Consider the following 20,662-nt stretch of genomic DNA (forward strand, 5'->3'; position numbering starts at 1 on the left):
TTTTTGAAAGGATCAACAAAATTGATAGACCGCTAGCAAGACTAATAAAGAAGAAAGAGAAGAATCAAATAGATGCAATAAAAAATGATAAAGGGGATATCACCACCAGTCCCACAGAAATACAAACTACCATTAGAGAATACTATAAACACCTCTACGCAAATAAACTAGAAAATCTAGAAGAAATGGATAAATTCCTCGACACATACACCCTCCCAAGACTAAACCAGGAAGAAGTGGAATCTCTGAATAGACCAAAAACAGGCTCTGAAATTGAGGCAATAATTAATAGCTTACCAACCAAAAAAAGTCCAGAACCAGATGGATTCACAGCCGAATTCTACCAGAGGTAGAAGGAGGAGCTGGTACCATTCCTTCTGAAACTATTCCAATCAATAGAAAAAGAGGGACTCCTCCCTAACTCATTTTATGAGGCCAGCATCATCCTGATACCAAAGCCTGGCAGAGACACAACAAAAAAAGAGAATTTTAGACCAATATCCCTGATGAACATTGATGCAGAAATCCTCAATAAAATACTGGCAAACCGAATCCACCAGCACATCAAGAAGCTTATCCACCGTGATCAAGTGGGCTTCTTTCTTTCTGCTTCCTTCCTTCCTTCCTTCCCCTCTTTCTCTCTCTCTTTCTTTTTTTCCTTTTTGAGACAGAGTCTAGTTCTGTCACCCAGGCTGGACCTCAGTGGCATGATCTCGGCTCACTGCAACCTCCGCCTCCCAGGTTCAAGCAATTCTAGTGCCTCAGCCTCCCAAGTAGCTGGGACTACAGGCGCGCGCCACTATGCCTGGCTAATTTTAGTTTATTTTGTACTTTTTAGTAGAGATGGAGTTTTGCCATGTTGGTCAGGTTGGTCTAGCACTCCTGACCTCAGGTGATCCTCCCGCCTTGGCCTCCCAAAAGTGCTGGGATTACAGGTGTGAGCCACCACACCCGGTCCTTTTTTTCTTTTTTTTTTTTTAAGTTTCAACTTATATTTTGGGTTCAGTGGGTACATGTGCAGGTTTGAGTGATGCTGAAGTTTGGTGTACAAGTGACCCAGGTAGTGAGCACAGTACTTGGTAGTTAGTTTCTCAACCCCCTCCCTCCCCACCAGTATTCCCCAGTGTCTGCTCTTCCCATCTTGATGTCTGTGAGTACTCTTATGTTTATCTTCCACTCATAAGTGAGAACATGTGGTATTTGGCTTTTTCTGTTAATTCGTTTAGGATGACGGCCTCCAGCTGCATCCATGTAGCTGCAAAGAACATGATTTCATTCTTTTTTTTTTTTTATGGCATAGCCTGTTTCTCAATCCATTATGTCCTGCCCTGCCTCAGTCTCTAAAACTCCTTCCTAGGCCCGAAAGGTTTCCTATTCCCCTGTTTGGAGGTCCTCTCCCTCATCTGCAATCCACTGCCTTTAGAACTCCAGCAACATTCATGTAGGGGTCGACTCATGTTTTTTCCTGCATGATTACCTAGCAGTTCATGTTTTATGGTGTGACTCCTATGCAGTGCTGCATCTGTGGCTGGGAGCATGGCTTGGATGCGTTTTGCATTTTCGTGGTCCTGCCATAGCACCATGAGTGATCATGGCTGTCATCAACCTCTCGAATGAATGACTGCGTGTATGGATAAGTGAAACTCTCAAGGATGAATTATCTAAAAAGTAAAATTTCAGAAAAAAGTTGGTTATTTTTCCCACCAGTTATTATCAGCATTTTTTTCCCCAACCTTTTCACACTGTCTTCATCTGCTGGGGCTGCCGTAAAAGAATACCATAGACTAGGCAGCTTAAGCAACGGAAATTAACGTTCTTAATGGTTCTGAAAGCTGAAGCCCAAGATGATGGTGTCGGCCAGGTCAGTTTCTTTCTGAGGCCTTTTCTCTTGGCGCGTGGGTGCTGCCATCTTGTCATGTGCTACATGAACTCTCCTTTGTGTATGCATGAAGACAGAGCAGGACCAGACTCCATGGCATCATTTGTTTGTTTGTTTGTCTGTTTGATTTTGAGACATAGTCTCCCTCTGTTGCTCAGGCTGGAGCGCAGTGGCGTGATCATAGCTCACTGCAGCCTCAACTTCCAGGGCCCAAGTCATCCTCTTAGCTCAGCCTGCCAAGTAGTTGGGACCGCAGACACAGGGTGCCATACCTGGCTAATTTTTCAGTATTTTGTAGAGGCAGGGTCTCAATGTGTTGCTCAGGCTGGTCTCAAACTCCTGGGCTCAAGCAGTCCTCCTGCCTTGGCCTCCCAAAGTGCTGGGATTACAGGTGTGAGTCACCGTTCCTGGCCTGTGGGGTCATCTTTAATAAGGACACTAATCCACTGGATAAGCTGCCTCAACTCCATGACCTCATTTTGCCGTAAGTACTTCCTTAGGGTTTTGGACTTGCTTGGGCCCTGCCATCCTTTCCTTGTTGCCTCTTTCTCTCTCTTGGAAAGGGACGTCTACTCCATGCTTGGCTCACTGTTATATTTTGGGAACATGGAACTTGTTTGGGTTCCGTGGTTCACGGCTGGAGGGGAGAGCTCAGCTTCAGGGTGGGCAAATTGCACCCCGAGTCCCACCCATTCCTGATTCAGGTGAAGTTTTGTTGAGGCTCAGGACTTCACACCTTAGTGCTGATGCTGGAATGAGCTAAGACTTCTGGGGCTGTTGGGATGGGATGAGTGCATTTGCCATGCAAGAAGGATGTGAATTTGGGGGAGGTCAGGGACAGGATGTTCTCAACTGAATGTCTGTGGCAGCATCACCTTGTTGGCTCAGAGTGAGTGAGCTCACTCTCCGGTGTCACCTCTTACAAGAACACTAATCCCATCAGATCAGGACCCCACTCTCATGGCCTCACTTAACCTGAACTACTTCCTTAGAGGCCCCATCTCCAAATACAGCCACACTGGGAATTAGGGCTTCAACATATGAATTTCGGGGGACACAAACATTAGTTCCATCAAACAAAACATGATGTCACCTGAGCGGCTCCCTTTCTGAACCCATGTCATGTGTTAGCCTGGTGGGTACACCTTAGGGGCAGGCACCACTTGCTCTCTGCCCCTCATAGGCTTTATCTAGAAACATGTGGACATGCAGGTGTGGACTATCCCTCCTTCCTTGACACATGACATCTCCTTGCTTCCAGCATCTAGGAGGGCTGTGTGACCAGGGCTGCCTGTTGAGTGCTGGAGAAAATTGTGTTTGCCATTTTTAGGTGTGGATCCTGAAATTCCTAAGTGATGCTCCGTGAAATTCCTAAGTGACGCTCCGTGAAATTCCTGAGTGATGCTCCGTGAAATTCCTGAGTGATGCTCCGTGAAATTCCTGAGTGATGCTCCGTGATATTCCTGAGTGATGCTCTATGAAATTCCTAAGTGATGCTCTGTGATATTCCTGAGTGATGCTCTATGATATTCCTAAGTGATGCTCCGTGAAATTCCTAAGTGACGCTCCGTGAAATTCCTGAGTGATGCTCCGTGTTTGCCTCCTAGGCTCTTTTCCTCCTCTTTCTCAATCCCCCGTTTCTCTCTTCCCTCCCTACAAGCTGGATTCAGAGAACCCCAGGATGGAGCCACGAGAGGGTTGGGGCCAGGGTGAAGGAATTAGCTACAGGCTGAGCACGCACGGCTTATTTATAGTGCGCCACTGGCTTTGGGGGCCGTGGGTTACGGCAACAATGTTATTTACTCTGAGTCATAGAAGAGAGAAATCCATGAGAAAAAGACAAAGAAAACGTGGCAATCAAATTGAAGACTTATGCAAATAGTGCATGAAATCTTACAACTTATAAATAGAAAATGTCTCTGCACCATAACTCATGATTGATTTGACATGTGTGGTGGATCCATGATGAGTTGGTCTATTGCTGATGTCACACGTTTGGTGGGTCCAGATGATGACCTCATCTCCACTTAGGGGCTCTTCAGGCCTGGAGGCAGGTCTTGAGCATGTGCTGGGGGGTCCCCAGGCCTCAGGAACTAGCTCCTCCTCACTGTTCTGCTGGCCAGTAGAAAACATTTTTGTTATGAAAGTAGCCATTATTAGGGCCTCACCTATGGAATGCTAGATTTCTGTGTGTTGGTGGTTTGTGGATTCAGGTATGCAATAGGAGGCCCAGGCAAAGCACCATGCGCTTATATGCTTTGTGCTGGTCGATCCTGGTCCAATGGAAAGATATGGATTGGATAGCTCCAGCACTTGTTTCTGAGAATCTGTCCAGCTCTCGTGCAAGTCCAGCCTTGGTGAAAGACAATTTGCGTGATTTCTCAGCACGGTGCCAGCAGGGCTCAGGAGCAGCACCGAGGGGTGCACAGAGACTGTCACCCCAGAGTGCCCCAGCATCCTGCCCCTCAGGGACCGCAGGGCTGCATGGGGAGGATGTGGCACTAGGTTCCTGGGTGACTGCTCTCGCTACACTCCTAAGCCCAGGAAACTTCCATGAGAACTTTTTTTTCCGTTTAAAAAGCCAACCCCATCTCCTCCTCTATAATCCTTTTTTCTTTATTCTTTACATTTTAAATTGAGGGGCGCTTGACATTTATATGAAGCATATTTTTCAACTAACATTTTATAAAGGCAAATGTAAAAAGAGAAAAGCAAAAATTTAAAAAACTTTCCTTACTTTGGGTGGTGAACTAATTAAAATGTAGAGAGATTTGTAGTAAGCTGGTTAAATTTTCTCTCTTTGATATTTAACCAGCGTGATTTCCCATGACGGCTTCAGCAAGTCTCACCTCCTGGCTGGGGTCCCCACAGGTTGGCACAGCTCAGCTCCAGTGATAACCTCACTGCCTGAGTAATTAATCTCTTTCTCCAGGAAGTGGAGTTAGAATGGGTTGTGTTGGGGTCCCATTTACTAACTGCAGATCTTCCTCCCCTCCCTGTCCTTTCGAGACCACCTTGGTGTTTACGTGGTGCTCAGAGACCTGAAATATTTCTGTGCTTGGCCACAAACCCGTCTTACTGATAACCAACACAGCTTTCAACACAGATCTTGCTTTTTTGCACTGCGTCCTTCCATTTCCCCAGTGAAGCCCTTTCCGGGTCTCTCCACAGAACTGTGTCTACTGTGCCACAGGTATTTTAAGTGATTGGTTTTTAATTAAATCACATACATGATTGCAGCTCTATGTAGTTTTCCATAGTTGAATTACTGTATGTAAATGATACTGCCATTGATGACATAGGGTGTTAGAAGCTAGACAGCAGCTTAGAATTCAGATAGGGAGACATACTTCTTTAACACTAGGGATGTTTAATGTTTTAATCACTTGGGATATAATATATACAGTCAACTTTGGTTACTGCAAACCCAACTAATCAGACTTTGCAATAATGTGATTTTCTTCCCCACCTGGCACTTGGTTTACAGGAGAAGCAGCTAAAGTGCTCAAAAATAAGCTTGTGCCTGATTAATTTTTTGCATGCAAATTACAGAATATGCTCATGGGCCTGCAAGGGGTTCATTTCATCTCCTAGGATGGATAAATGCATTCAGATTTAGTGTTCTGAGCACATGGGCCAAGTTATATTGCATGGTCCCTTTCTAAAATAAGGGAAGACACTTTCCCATAACCCAGAGAACTGAGTTATCTCATTGTGTATTATGACCAATCCGCACCTTCCCATCATATCTTTCAATTCGGTGCCTACGTCAGAAGCTCTACAGAGGCTCCTAGGGTGCTCAAAAACCATGTGCTTACTAGTTCCGTCCACTTGAACTTGCATCACAGAAGGTAGACAAACCTGTGTTTCTCTATGGAGGTCAAATGCCAGCTCCTTTATAAAGGCTTCCCAGCATGGGAACCCTTGGTGTCTTACAGCACTTTCAAGCTGTGTCCTTTCCTGGCATAATTTGTATGCTTGTCTTTCTTTCTCCTGTACATGTCATACATGTGTAATATACCACAGACCTTGTGGACAAGTGGTTACTGTTTCTACTGACTTTCTATTGGTTAATAGGAGTTCTAGCTAAGGTCATTGAAATCGTGCTACTTGCCAGACACTTTCTAAATGCTTTAGGTGCATGTTTTCAATTAATCCTCATAAACCACTTTATAATTAAGGGGCTGCAATGATCTCTATATTTGTTAACAATCCTGTGAATTAATGGTAGTGTGCACAGCTTAGGACACGTGTCCTACAAGTGGCTCATTGGTGGGGTGTTGTCCATCATGAGAATAACTGGTGTGGACAGCCTATGGCACATGCCCTCCATGTGGTTCATCAGAGGAGTGTTGACGATCTTGAGAATGACTTCTGTAGACAGCCTATATGGCCTGTGTCCTTCATGTGGCTTATTGGTGGAGTGTTGATGATCGTGAGAATAACTAGTGTAGACAGCCTATAACACATGCCTGAGCAGTGGAGTGTTGTCCATCATGAGAATAACCAGTGTAGACAGCCTATGGCCTGTGTCCTTCATGTGGCTCACTGGACTTGTACAGATACTTGCAGGAGGAAGAGGCCACTTCTGGGTAGGGACTGGGAGTGGGGTAGTCAGGGAAGCCTCCCTGGAAGAGATAGTTTATGTGATTCCTTCAAAGCCCAGAAAGAATCTAAATTGTCAGGGATTAAATGATCATAAAAACTTAGTAGAAGCCATAGCCTGAAGCAGTTCAGAGGTGGAAACATTTGTTTTTGGGATAAGAACAAAGAGTAGATCAGTCTGGCCTGAGTAAGAATTTGTGCAGAGTAGTTATGAGAAATTAAACTGAAAGGGCCACTCACTACAGGAGAGTGTAGGGTCTCGATTCCAGGCCAAGGAGTTCATCTGTTAATTCATCAAATATTTATGGAATGCTTCTCAGGGTCAGACACGATTATACCTGCCAGGGATACATCAGCACAGAAACAGGCAGAGATCGCTCCCACGTGAAGCTCAGACGTTACCCAGGCACATGGATGTCCTTTGAGGGACCCTGACCGGCAGGGTGACAGGGCTGGGTCTGCAGCTGTGTGAGGGGCCACATGTCTTGGTGAGGACAGTGATCCAGGGCCTGGCACCGAGGGCACGTCTCAGTCATGGTAAGGTCAGCAGTTTGTTGTTTTGCTTTGCTTCAAGCACCCTAGATGTAAGGTGAATTATGAGGATGCTCTCAGGGCTAGGAAGGTTAAACTGTTGCACTGGACCTGCACTATAGCTGTTACTACCGATGGCTGCCTCCACCCACAGCACGGGTAGCACCCTGCGAGGCTCTCGATTGAGATCCCTGCTGGGAACTGTTAACACATTATTTAATCCACCCAACAACTATGTGAAGAACCGTCCCATTTTATAACTGTAGCAAAAGAGTTTTAGGGAGATTTGGTAGCTCGGCCAAAGATCTAAAGCAAGCAAGTAGTTGAGGCAGAAATGGGGTTGTTTCAGGTCTGAATCTGAGCTGTGGCAGCCTATCTTCATGGACACTACCTGATGCTCTTTTGAGGTGGATTCCCAGAAGGTCTCGGAAAACAAATCCAACCATACACTGTAAATCCTCGAGATATAGAACTCAGCACATCTGTGGGGTCCAACTCCAGTCCTTGAGTGGGAGAGGAAGGTGGGCCTTAGAGACCCTCATGGTCTGGCCCACCTTCAGTCCTTGAGGGGTGACTTCCCCTCCAGACAATATCAGGAAGGCATAGGTTGCCATCCAGATGCCCCAGCTCCTGCAGAGGACAGGTGAGTGGCTGGGGAGGGGACGAGAGAGGCTGGACTGGGGGCAGGTGAGATAGTGCTTTGCAATATAGAAAGCCCTGCACAGAGAGACTCTAAAACCTGTTCAAAAAAGCCTGAATAATCAACAGAAAAGTCATCTGCAGCATAAATTCTTTTTTATATATGAAAAAGAGAGACATCCAGCTGTCCCCATTATTGTTGGTGATTTAGCCATTTAGAAAATGCCTGCTGAAGGGTCTCTTGGCAGCGGGGCAGGGTTAATGTGTCTTGCACCAGTCTTTCATGCCTCCCAGGAAAGAGCTCACACCGTGGGGAAACGCGCCCTCCTGTGAACCCTTACAAAGCAGCTCGGCTTCTCGCAGGGACGATGGTGGTAGGTGGGACTGGGTGGGTGGGGGTTCTGGAGAATCCTTGGTGATGCCCTGAGGCTTTGCCTGGCACCCTCAGAGCAGAGGTTTAAGATACCCAGCCTTGAAGCTATGAATGCACAAATGGGCACCGGCTGCACGTTGGACCAGCAATGGTCAGAGGAGAGGGTGTGTGGTTTCTCGTTACACAATAGTGATAACCAGGTGCTTCCAGCTCCAGGGTTAAGTGGGGAGTTGGCCCCATATTTGATGAGCTGTGCATTCCCGTGCTTAACGGAAAAGCAAAGCAAAAGGCTGCTCTGTTAGCTCCCACTTTTTGTTGCCCACATTTTGCCTATTGGCTCCGATTACCATGGCAAATTACCAGCATTATTCACATTGGAAAATGAACTTTAAATGGGAACATTGCAAGACTCAAACTTTACTCATTTCCAACACTAATATTTTGAATGGCATGAATAAATAAAATGTGCTCAAATTTGCAGCAGTAGTCCTCAGGGTAAAATTGACATTCAGCCAAAGTGGTGGGATACTAAAATCCATAGATTATAAAGGAGAAAGCCTTTAGTAAATATTTTCCTGTTGAAATCCTGTCTTTGGGTTTATACGGCTGAAAAATCAGAAAGGTTAGATTTGCACGTGGGTGGGGCAATGCGGAATCCAGGACCGTTGCCCCGAGTCCCCAGGCTCCTTTCCCCTTTGAACTTTGTTTCACAGCGGGGGCGGGTGGTGGGGCAGTGGGGGCGGGTGGTGCCTCACTGGAGAGAGCCAAGAGGGGGCTTGGGAGTGCAGATGGCAGAGGGACGCAGGGCCAGAGTCCACATGGAGGTGGGACACACCTCGAAGCCCCCTCTCAAACAACACACCCCGTCTAGACCCGGGAAGTAGGAGAAACACTGCCAGGAGAGTCCAGCCAAACACAAACCGAAGCCTCCGGGATAATCAGAGAAAATGGAAGATGATCTTCCCTGACTTCCATCTTCATATCCCTTTGTGTTTCTGTGGAAGAGGCAGTCTCTATGTCATGTAATGAGCCCTGTTTTCTGACAATTACAATAAAGCTTCATTAATTTCAAAATCAGGGACTGGTAAAAACCGATGTCCAACCAAATAGTTCAAATTATCTGACTATTTAATTATTCTAAATCTCAAATTACCTAAAGGCGGATGGCAAATTTGAGTGAAGGCATGAAAAGGAAAAATCCCTTATTGTAGCCATTGTATGGTGGGAAAAGCCCTAAACTTGGGATCAGAAGAACCAGAGTTGAGTTCTGCCACCACCTTCCCCCAGCTGCATGACCACTACGGGGCAATTGGGGTCTCTGAGCCACGGGTTCCTCTTCTGCAAGAGGCATCATCATAATCACTCCTCAAGGCCAAGGCTCTGCATCTTGGCACAGAGATGTACGCCTGCAGCATCCTGCACTCGTCTCTTCCGTAGGAACAGTGCTGGTGTCATAGGGGTGTTAGGAGGTTGGATGACAGTGGATGGAGGTGCTTAGCCTGGTACCCGGCACTGTTAAGCTCAGCATCCAGCACTCAAATACCAGCTGCTGTTGTTATTGCCATTATCATCCAACTGTGTGCAAACATAACATTTTTTTAGAAAAAATACAGAAATAACTCACCCCCACGTGCCTCATCCTTCAAATTAAAGTAACCTGTTTAAAGGGTACATTTTGATACAATTAAGTATGCAGGCAATGCAGTTTTGAGGAGGCGTATGTTGGGGTGACCTTTCCTGTGACTCACTTGAAGTTGGCCTCTGTCTTGGCTAACTCTCTGACTTTGCTGCTGCTGGTGAGGCCTGTCCCCCACGACTGTGCTCACAGGATGGTCCCCTTAAAAGAACCTGAATAACGAGTTGAATCATAAGGAAATCAAAGCTACATAGTTAGCCTTTTAGAGTTTTATTCTTAATTCACAAATAATAATTGTATATATGTATTGGGTGCAATGTGATGTCTTGATACATATACACATTGTGGGATGATCATATCAGGCTGACATAGCCACCACCTCAAAGACTTACTGTAATGAGAGCATTTAGAGTCCTTTCTTTTGGCTGTCCTGAAATACATGATACATTATCATTAACTATGATCACCATGCTGTGTGACAGATCCCCAGAACCTGTCCCTCCTGTCTACCTGAAACCTCGCGTGCTCTGACGGACATCCTAGCCCCTGGTAACTGCCTTTCTCCTCTCCATTTCCGTGAGAGTTCTGCAGCCATGCACATAGATGCTGGGTAGATTTTGGACCCAAAGCCAACCTTAGGAGGAAATTACACATATATCAGCTGTTCCATTTAGTCACTTTTAGTGAAATCATCAGTCTATTTTTGGTGAGGAAATGCTCATCAGTGAAACTGCCTGCTCACTCTTTAATTACATGTACCTTTATTTCTGTTTAAATTGGAAGCTAGAGTCTGAGGCAACAGCACATTCAAAGGTTAAGTTAGTGTGCTTTGGAGTTATGCCGTCGGCTGTGTGGCCCTCTAAGCATTGTTTTCTGATCTAAGCGTTCCTTCCTCTCTGATTTCACAGCTTGGGTGTGTTATTTTGTGACTGCTGACACAAACATTGTCCTCGTCAGACTGGATGCCCAAGGACAAGGACTCAGTGTCACTCCTCATTGCAATCACAACATCCACTGAGTGTGCATGGTGGGCCCCCACCCCAAAGCACGCTTGCCTCTGGGTCAGCTCGTGCACTGCTGTCTCTGAAGCCCTACCCTAAAGGGAAGCCTGAAAGGAGCTGAGGGGGTGTCTGTCAGAGCCCTGACTGCAGACAGGCTCGGCCATGCCCAGAACGTCACAGACACCAGTTCTCAAGCATTTCTGCTTTTATTTCACCCCCATCCCTGTCCCTCGGGGAAAAGAATCAATCAGAATTTATTGTGCAAGGCACTGATGAAATACAGGGCAAAATAAGACAAGGTCCTCTACATAAAGCAGCCTAGAATACGAAACAGGAAACACAAAATACCATGTGATAAATGGCAGCTGACATTTCTCAAGGGCTGACTGCATAGCAGGTGCTCTTCCAAGTAACAGCGAGTGTCATTTCTGTTCATCCCCGTTGTATCCCTAAGAGGCAGTTACGATTATTGTCCTGTTTTACAGATGAACAAGCCAAGGCTGAGGAAAAGAAAACTCCTTGCCCAGCACACAGGCAGTAAGTTGTGGGTCTGGAAGTCACACTAGTTCCATGAGGCCCCACAATGCGTGCTGCCTCTGAGACGCTGAGGAGAGAGAAGAGATGCCTTGGTCACAGCTCCCACCCTCAGATGAGATGAGCCTGCAGGTAGGAGGCCTGCCATGGCAAATGCTGCCTCTTAGATGAATTGGGGTAGGAGAATGACCCCCAAACTCCTGGAGCAGGCAGGCAGCCACCTGCATCAAGACCACGGGGTACTTCTGTGGGTCTTAAGCCCTTTCCCCACTCCCTGAATAGGGGTTTCTGACAGAGGATGCCGAGGCACTCTGACATGTGACGCGGTTGTCTAAACGCTGGTGTAAGCCAAAAATAAAATTCTAAGGCCCCCCAACCATCCAAATGGACCCCTCTTCTCAGCCAAGGGCATTCCAGAGTTAACCTGAAAAACTGGTTCAGACATGATGGAAGAGGGGGTCGGACATGCCTCATGATACCTCCCTCCATTGTGGAATTCAGGAAAAGCCAACCAGCCTTAACATCAACAAAGACCTGAGTCCGATGAGAAACAGTGACCATCTGTTCCCTCCAAAGCCTGCTACCCAGAGATCTGCATGGTCAAACCCTGGTCTCCACACCCCTTATCCTAACCCAGACCTTCCTTTCTACTGATCATAACTCTTTCAACCAATTGCCAATCAGAAAAATGTTATGACCTGGAAGCCGCTGCTTTGAGTTGTCCCGTCTTTCCAGACTGAACCAATGTCAATCCTACACGTATTGAATGATGCCTCAATTCTCTCTAAAATGTATAAAACCAAGCTGTGCTCCGACCACACTGGGCACATGGCGTCAGGACCTCCTGAGGCTGTGTCACAGGTGTGTCCTTAACCTCGGCAAAATAAACTTTCTAAATTGGTTGAGGCTTGTCTCAGATACTTTTGGGTTCACGTTGGGGACCTGGAAGAGGGAGGAGGAGGCCTTCAGGGGGAGGCCTCTGCCCACGGCACCGTCAGGAAGCCCGAGTCTGCCACGGCTGCTGGGTGGGACAGACCAGGGTGCTCCTGACGGGCAGACCCATCCCACTTTCTGAGGTGGAAAACCAGGCCTGGGCCTCCCACTGCCCACCTCCTGCTTCCTCTCACTGGCTCCGTGGCCAGGACCCGTTCTCTCTGCCCCTCGCTTTGGTCTATGCAGGCCTCATACCACGCATTGCTGCTGGGTGACAAGACAGCCCACAGGATCCAGCCCCTGGGGGGACCGCCCGACCTTCACTCCACGGTGGGTGTGCCACAGCCAGCACGCAGGAGCAGGCGTGTTCCACACCAGGGAGGGGCAGGTAGGCGTTCGCCAAACAATAGCCTCTGGCCTGCGGCAGGAAGGCCCTCCCACGTGTGCAAGGAGATGCGTTAGAGCAGGCACGGCATACATAGGCACATACACGGCATACATAGGCTGGTGGCTGAGCACAGCTGTAACTTCCAGGGTTACAGACATTGAGGCATTTCAGTCTTGTGTTGTTAGCATGTTTTAATCCGACATAATTAGTTACAGTAAAGAATCCATCTAGGGAAAATGAAGAAAATACGGCTTTAAAATGAAGGATCTGTATAGAGCAAAAGCAGGGACTGAGTCATACGAGGCTGAGTCTCTCTTGGTGCCTGAGGCTTTGCAAGGTCAGGAGCTGACTACCTTTTCCCCCATGTCTGACAAGTGGATTCTGTCCTCTGCATGTTGTTGTTTATTTTATGAATCAGCCCCAGCCATTGTCCAGCTCACGGGCACCTCCAGCAGAGAGTGGAGGCCTGCAGGGACTCACAGGTGACCCACGCCTGCAGCAGAGTGGAGAAGGGCCTCCCTCCTGGTCGGCGGAAGGACATCGACATTGAAGCCAGATGCTGGGGTCCCCAGGACCAGGTGTCCACACCCCCACTGCACGGATGAGACAATCAGCACAGGGAGGTGGGCTGGCTCGCTGACACAGGCTCAGGCAGTTGGTGGGATGCTTGGAATGAAATCCCTATCCCTATGTTTAAATTCTAGCTCCAAAATCTGGGCTCCTGACCACAATGTTAGAGGTGCCTTCCAAGGGCTTTTCACTAATTGAGGATTTCAAACAAGCCTGAGATGAGAGATCCCACATTCAGCCTTGAGCAACTGAGGGTTGACGGTTGTGTGTGCTGACATCTGTCTGTCTACCTGTTGATTATGTAAAGTAGTCGTCCACAGTTTCCTAAATCGTTAAATATCCACAAATCTGTTTACACACATTAACGGTAGTTACTGCTTTAGCAATCAACTTCAAATTTGAATACCATTAAAACACAGAAAATAAACTAAAAACCACATTGGGAAGATGCATATTTCTGTTTTTTTGTGAAACTGGTGCTTTCTGGTCTACTCAGGAAGATATTTTGAGCCCGGGTTTAATTAGGATCTTTAAATTCTCATTTGTGTGCTGACATGAGGGTGCAAACAGATGAGGTCCTCCGTTTGGGGCTGATTCATGGTTATTTGCATTCATCTGGATTTAAAAAGATAAAAACCAGAAGAATCATTTCAGGCCATCTAGAGAAAGAGATTCCCTTGGAAAAAGTAGTTGTTTCATAAAGAAAGTAATATTTACTTCCCAGCTTCTGTTAAATTCAAGAAAAGCCTTTAAGTGAGCATCTAAGGAACGCCAACCCCTCTTCTGCAAAATCACCAGGGAGGCTGATGTTACACAGGCCTCCAGTGCCACAGAGGTGGGGGCCCTCAGACCTCTTTGTCCCATGACTTTGCCCCTGAGTCTTTCCCTATCCTGAAAGCAGGATCTGGAGAACAGAAATCAGTGGATGAAAATTGCCAAGTTGTTCCCAATGCACCTGGGTCCCTGAGGCAGCCTGGGTGCCGCTGCTGAGCATCCTGCAGGCTCCCAGAGGAGCGGGGTCGGAGCTCCTTCACAGCTCAGTGTGTGTAGAAAACGCAGTCCTCTGGTCCATGTTCCCTCCTCACAGCAAAACCACCAGCACCTCTGTAATGCTGTGTTCCCTGCACAATCCTGCAATATTTTTGTTTATTTACATACCCGATGTCCCTGGTGGAGTGAAAGCAACTGCATGGAGTGAGCGCCCCACCAGGTCCCAGAGCTCCAAGAAAATCCTGCGAAAAGTAAGCATCTCAGACGAAGCCACAGATGGCCCACCTCGGCCGGGTGAAGTTTTAAATTTGGACAAACATGCAACCAAGACGGCTCCTGTGGTGTCCTGGAGGAAGCCGAGCTCAGCCCTGCAGAATGCATGGTGTGTGGGTTCCATTAGATTTCCATCTGGTGTCTGGAGGGCCTAGAGAAAGCCAGGAGAGGAGAAGGAGCCTGTGTTTCCCTAGAGAGGACCCCGAGGCCTGGCTGGGCAGAGGCTTCATGCCTGGCACTGCGGCAGGTCAGGGGCTGTGTGGCGGCAGAAGGCATATCGTGGCTGTGTCCGTGGAGCTGCGCCTTCCAAGTTACCAATTCCAGTGGGGCTGTTCGCGTCTGCCACCAACTTTCCTAAGACTGACCTCGCCAGCCGCTCAGAAAGCAGCGTTCACCACTATCGGCGTGCGTGTGTTAAGCTGACTTGACCTTGTCTGCACTGGGTGTTTCCAGATAGTCTGGGAGTGGGTAGGGGAGGGCACCTCACTCTGTGACCCAGGCTGGTCTCGAACTCCTTGGCCTCAAGCCATCCTCCCGCCTCAGCCTCCCACAGTGCTGAGATTACAGGCGTGAGCCACCGCACCTGGCTAGAATCTTGTTTTTCACTCCCAGGGAGCATTGAAACAGAGTAGTCACAAAATAAATGTTTAGAAAAAAATTTAAAAGTTGCATATATTACTGTCGCAGGATTAGTAATTGTCACTCTACTGTGAAGCCTTTTTATCCCCCTCACTTAGACAAAAGGCTTGTGACCTGAGGCCCTTCTCTACTGAGTGATTTTCTTTCAAATCACAGCATGCATAGACACTCAGTATATCTTTTCCGATAAAATTAGGTATGTGTTTTCTTCATACCCTGTTGCACCAGGAATCAAAATGTCTGTATCACTCTCAGGTTCCGTCGCCCTGAAACCTTCAAGTTCTGTCGCCATGAAATCTTGCTGGGTCTTGTCACTGCTCCACGGGACAAAATGTGATGAACAGAGGTGGTTCGGGTGCCGCGCTTCTGAGAGGAGTGACTTGGGTCTCCCGGCTGAGGCTGCGATGCCACTGCCCGCTGACGGCCCACTTGCCAGGATGTCCTGGCCTGAGGACACCCCAACGGGGAACAGAGGTCGAATGACGTGTGGCTGCTCGGAGCCTGTTCTCCAGAGAAAGCTCCTTGTTCGAGGAAGGTTTCTGACACCAGAAATCATTCTGGTTTCTTGTCAGTAACTGGAGGGGAAAATCCAAAGCCTTTGTTGCTAAGATACATAACATCCTTCCATGGAGAGAGGGAAGGAGAGAGAGGGAGAGGGAGGGAAGGAGAGAGAGAGGGAGAGGGAGGGAAGGAGAGAGGGAGGGGAGAGAGAGGGACACAGGAAGAGATGCAGAGGGAGGGAGGGAAAGGGGGGAGAGGAGGGAGAGAAAGGGAGGAAAGGAGGGAAGGGGGGAGAGAGAAAGAGAAAGGGACATAGGGAAGGAAAGAGAGAGGGAGAGGGAGGGTAAGAAGGGGGGAGAGGGGGAGAGAAAGACAGGAATAGAAAAAAGAGGGAGGGAGGGAGAGAGGGACGGGGAGGGAGAGAGGGACGGGGGGAGAGGGACAGAGGGAGGGAAGGAGGGAGGGAAAGAGCAGGGAGAGAAGGGGGAAGAGAGAGGGGAGGGAGGTGGGGGAAGAGGGCAGAGAGGGAGAAAGAGAAGGGAGGGAGGAAGGGAAGGAGAGAGAGATTTCAAAGCAGTTTTACTCTTCATGTGGTCTGTTTTAGCCCCGTCCTCCTCTGCCTTTCTTCTTGTGTGTGTTTAAAAGCTATTAATCAGTTTTAGAAAGCAAATCTCTGCCTCTGTTGTGAGCATCTCGATTTTTCTTTTGCATTTTCAGGGCATTCTCGCTGGAAAGGCTCAGTCATGCTGGACAAACTATTATACCAGTGGAAGTCTGTCCAGTTTCTGATAAAACCAAAACTAATTTATTTTTTGTTTATCCTCCACTACCTTTGACAAAGCTTCCTCTGGAGATGTGTATCTTCATTCCCCACTCCTTTCTATGTCATCTCTTTTTGTTTTGTTTTGCAACTGACAAGGGGAAATAAATCTGACACCAACCTCGGAAGATGGTAATGCATTCAAGGCTTTTCTTCCCTCTCAGATGTGATAAAAATCTTGCCTAAAACCATGTCCAACCTTTTCAGCAGAAAGTCCAGATGGCTTTGCAGCCTGTAAAACAGACTTTACTCACTGATGCCTCTCGGAGTGTCGGCAGGGCAATGTCTTTCTCGCAGCAGAAATGCAAAACAAAAGACAGCATCTGTGGCTTGCAGGGGGGCGGGGGCATGGGGGAGCTGTTGGTCATCTGGAAGTGCAAACAAAGAAAAAACTTAGAGCAAGCTCAGAAGAGAACTTCCCATGAATGGGAATTCCATCAGGTGGGCTGCAGGGTGAGGAGGAGATGGATGAAAATCAGCTGCAGTGGGTACGAGAATAGATCATTTGAGATGAGGAAGAATTCAACTTTTCCACCATTGAAGATGAGTGACTGCCGATAGAATCAGCTCTGTGGTGGCCACATCTCTCCATCGGGGTGTGCTTGCAGTTCTGTTGGAGAAATTCCATTTCTGATGCCAGCCATGTGCAGATGGCTGAGGCTCACATGAGCAGTGTGTGTGCAAGAACAGAGGCCCAGGAAGACTTGTGATGCCTGGGACCTGGCGGGGTGACGTGGCTCCTCACTTACCCATCTTCAGTGTGAGGATGAATTCCTCATTTCTGTCAGCCACAGCTGCACACTCTGAGTGTGTGCTGATGGGCCCTTGACTCACCTGATGGCGTTTCACCTTACAGCTGGGGAAACTGATTCTCGAAGAAGGCAGCAGCCCCTCGCGTTGTTTGACTGATAACCAAGCAGAGGGTTCCAGTGATGTCGACCCTAGGACTTCTCCGGCTCTGACATGACTGTCTCGCTTCCCCCATCCAGCGATGGTAACCGCTGGGTCACACTGCCTTGCCTTTCTGTTATCTTGCCCCCAACGTCAAAGCTTTGCTGAGCTCATTATTACACCTGTGATGGAATTCCAGTCAAGCCATCTCCTTCCCTGAGTTGAAAATTGCTTCTCCCCTGATGCCAGCCCTAATTAGCGCTACCCAATTCTGACAACCCATGTGCCCACAGCATGGAGTGGTGGCTCTCAGCCCTGCCTGCAAATTGTATTCTCCTGGGGAGATTTAAAAACTGTCCCCTGCCAAGGCCCCGACCTAGACCAATTGTGATAGGATGCCTGGGCTGGGGCCAGGATGTCTCTGTTTGTCAAAGCAGATTTCTGTGTGCAGCTGGAGTGCGGAGTCACTGGCAGCAGGTAAGCAGCTGGCTTCTGCGGGAACGGCCCACATCCTTTCCTGGTGAAACATGTTGAATATCTTCATTACGTGTGTTCCTCTCACTTCAGGTGTGGAAATGCCGGTGTTCCAGGAAGGCCAGGACAAGGCCTTTCTGTTTGAGGTCATGGCGTTATGTCTGGTGCAGAGCTCGACATATGACGTTTGTCGCTGTTGGTTGGCTGATTGATGGGGCCTGGGGAGTGTGAATGTGACATGGGATGTGGGAGAGAAACATCAGAGGAGCTAAAAGCCAAGAAATGACCTTCAAGGTGCTGCAAAATCTTGGGAAGAGTGTGAGAGTTCGGTGCAGGAAGATATGCTGGGGTTACAGGTATTTACATCCCAGGCATGTGTTGAAGTGGATTGCTGTGCACTTTTGACCTCTTTAAGTCATTTAGGTGATAATCAGATAGAACATAACAATTTCACCAGGAAATGTTGGGGACAACATCAGAGATGTCCGATGCAATTTAGGAGAAAGAGTACAACGGACAGGGAGGACAAGAGGACCCTGAGTGCCGCTCTCTCTGGTGGTGGGAGTCTGGGCTCTGAGCTGACGTGTGCGCCTCTGTTTCTTCAATGACCTCTCTTGATACGATTTTGGATCTGCCTCTAGAATCCTGACTTATTTAGAGATCAGAAATAGCAGAATGCATGAAGGGTCTCATTAAGAATTTTTGCTTTTTAGAATTACCTAAGTTTAAAATACAGAATAATGATAAATGGTTTTATTTTATTCTTTCAAAATATTTTTCAGAAAATAATCTCTAATATCATTGAATATGGGAGAAGTACAGCTTCTTTAAGACCCTGTTGATTCACAGACTGTAGTAGGAAAAGGTGGCCTATGTGTGGTGCAGCAGTAAGCTCTTGCTGTGTAATGACCATCCCCAAGCGCAACGGCTCAGTCAGCAAGCATTTGCTCCTCACTCAGGAGCCTGTGGTTGGACTGGGGTGGGGTGATATTGACTGGCCTGTGCAGCTTGGCTTCCAGCTGTGCTGTGGGGTCAGGCCCGCTCCATGTGCAACTCCCTTTGGATCAGCCCCTCTGGAGACCCCTTCCTGTCATGGTGCTGGCAGATGTGCCAGGGTCCAAGTCCACCTGCTCAAGTGAACTTCAAACCTCTGCTTATTGGGACCCTCCAGTCCCACTGGCCTAAGCAGGATCCACGTGTAAGACAAACATGAATGGGAGGGGAAAGTATGTTCCCTCCACAGAGGAGGGAGAGAAGGCGAATATTTACTGACCTGTAATCTAACCCATCTCAACAGCTTAGTGTGTGCAGACTGTAGAAAAATGTGAAGGCTCCAGGAAGTCTGTACTAAAGCTTTCATTCCCCACTGCTGGTCTCTCACAGTAGAGATGCTGCTTAACCCCATTATCGGAGGACAGGACTGAAATGGTTATTGGCTACTGATGATTCCATAACGTATTCTATGCTTTTCCAGACAACTGCCACATTGAGACACCTAACTGGCGGCAGAGAATTGAGGGACAGGCCTGGTGCATGGGAGTCTTCCTGTGGTGCTGTGGAGTACAGAAGGCCAAGTGCTCCATCACAAACGTTGGGGGAGGGCAGGGGGAAGGGGTCAGGATGGTTGTCTGCAGCTTTGCCTGGGACTCTCTGCATTTAGCATCTTTCTATCCACAACATATGTAATGACCCCAAAACTCCTGGGACACAATCAAGTGTGGAAAGGAGGAGGCCCTGCTGTCTGTGTTCTAAGCTCAACAACATAATTGGAAAATGGGAGAGTAGTTTTTAGCCACCCTCATTTCTACTGCAAAATTCCTTTTTCACTCATCCCTTTCTCCTTCCTTACTGCCAGAAAAAATACACTCCTTCTCTGCTCCCAGCCTGGCTCCTTGCTAAGATGCTCGGTGCTGTCCTGCCCGCTGCCTTCAGGGCAGTAACAGTCTGTCTTTTCTAACTCCCATCTCTCCAGTATTTTATTTGTGTAATCTTTCGTGTTTTCCTTTTCTTTTCCTCCTATACAAAATACCTATCTAAACACAAACAAAAATAAGTATCCTGGATTCAATAGTATCCTCCAAATTTAGGTCTACCCAGAACCTCAGAGCATAATGTTATTTGGAAATAGGGTGTTTGCAGATGTGATTAGTAAAGGATTTAGAAACGAAATTATCCTGGCCTTAGAGGAAGCCCTAAATCCAGGGACTGGTGTCTTTATCGCAGGGAGGAAGGGAGGTGTAGCCCCCGTCGGCCTTGGGTATGGAGGGAGGCGTAGCCCCCGTCAGCCGTGGTTATGGACCCGCAGGTGTTATGTTTCTTCACTGCAACTGAGCCCCATTAGCTCAAAGCTTGCCAGAGCCAAACTCAAGTTTTTACACATCCAGTTATTTTAAAAATAGCCCAAACAAGCAGATTTTTAGCCGTTGAAATGGTACCTGCTTGGCATTCCCTGTGAAACCTTACCATAGAGCTGTTCCCCACTGATAAGGTGGGGCCTTGTGGTTATAAGACCACTGGCCGTTCAGACCCCGAAGAGCCCTCTGACCCAGAGACCCCCGAGGGTGGCTGCGTGGCATCGCCTGGACAAGGAGCCCCCTCTGAACCCCTCTTCCCAGCAGCTCCCTTGCCCTCCTCTCCTCTTGGAACAGTCTTAGGCCATGACAGATGCCCCTGCATGCAAATCTGTCCAAGCGCCAGCCTCATACAGCCTGTGTGCGCTCCTGCCACCGGGGGGCACACCTTTTTCCTCGGTAAGCCCTGAAACTCCCCCAGTCTAGAGACGCGGGCACAGCCAGGACAGCAGCAGCCATGGAGGCAGGGGCTGGAGGGATGCAGCCGCAGCCCGGGGCAGAGGATCCCCAGCCATGGCTGGAGGCCAGGAGAGAGGGTGGGACAGATGCCCCTTAGAATCAGAAGGAACCAGCCCTGCCCACACCTGGAGGTCAGCTCTGGTTCCAGAGCTTTGAGAGAATAAACTTCTGTCAT

General features: G+C 48.1%; 1 protein-coding gene across 1 annotated transcript in view, besides 2 other annotated features; it reads right to left on the bottom strand.

The window, feature by feature from the left end:
* ADARB2 (adenosine deaminase RNA specific B2 (inactive)) overlaps positions 1 to 20,662 on the bottom strand; it is a 560,213-nt gene that overhangs the window by 100,011 nt on the left and 439,540 nt on the right. The window lies entirely within an intron of this gene.
* Positions 15,048 to 15,946: an enhancer, noted in NCBI's record as "H3K27ac-H3K4me1 hESC enhancer chr10:1334566-1335464 (GRCh37/hg19 assembly coordinates)". NCBI's record gives its function as "activates a minimal SCP1, AML or CMV promoter by ChIP-STARR-seq in primed H9 embryonic stem cells {active_cell/tissue: H9 hESC(primed)}" and the evidence as "EXISTENCE:reporter gene assay evidence [ECO:0000049][PMID:30033119]".
* Positions 16,261 to 17,170: an enhancer, noted in NCBI's record as "H3K27ac-H3K4me1 hESC enhancer chr10:1335779-1336688 (GRCh37/hg19 assembly coordinates)". NCBI's record gives its function as "activates a minimal SCP1, AML or CMV promoter by ChIP-STARR-seq in naive H9 embryonic stem cells {active_cell/tissue: H9 hESC(naive)}" and the evidence as "EXISTENCE:reporter gene assay evidence [ECO:0000049][PMID:30033119]".

Source organism: Homo sapiens, chromosome 10, assembly GCF_000001405.40.
Source record: "Homo sapiens chromosome 10, GRCh38.p14 Primary Assembly".
NCBI classification, from domain to species: Eukaryota; Metazoa; Chordata; class Mammalia; order Primates; family Hominidae; genus Homo; species Homo sapiens.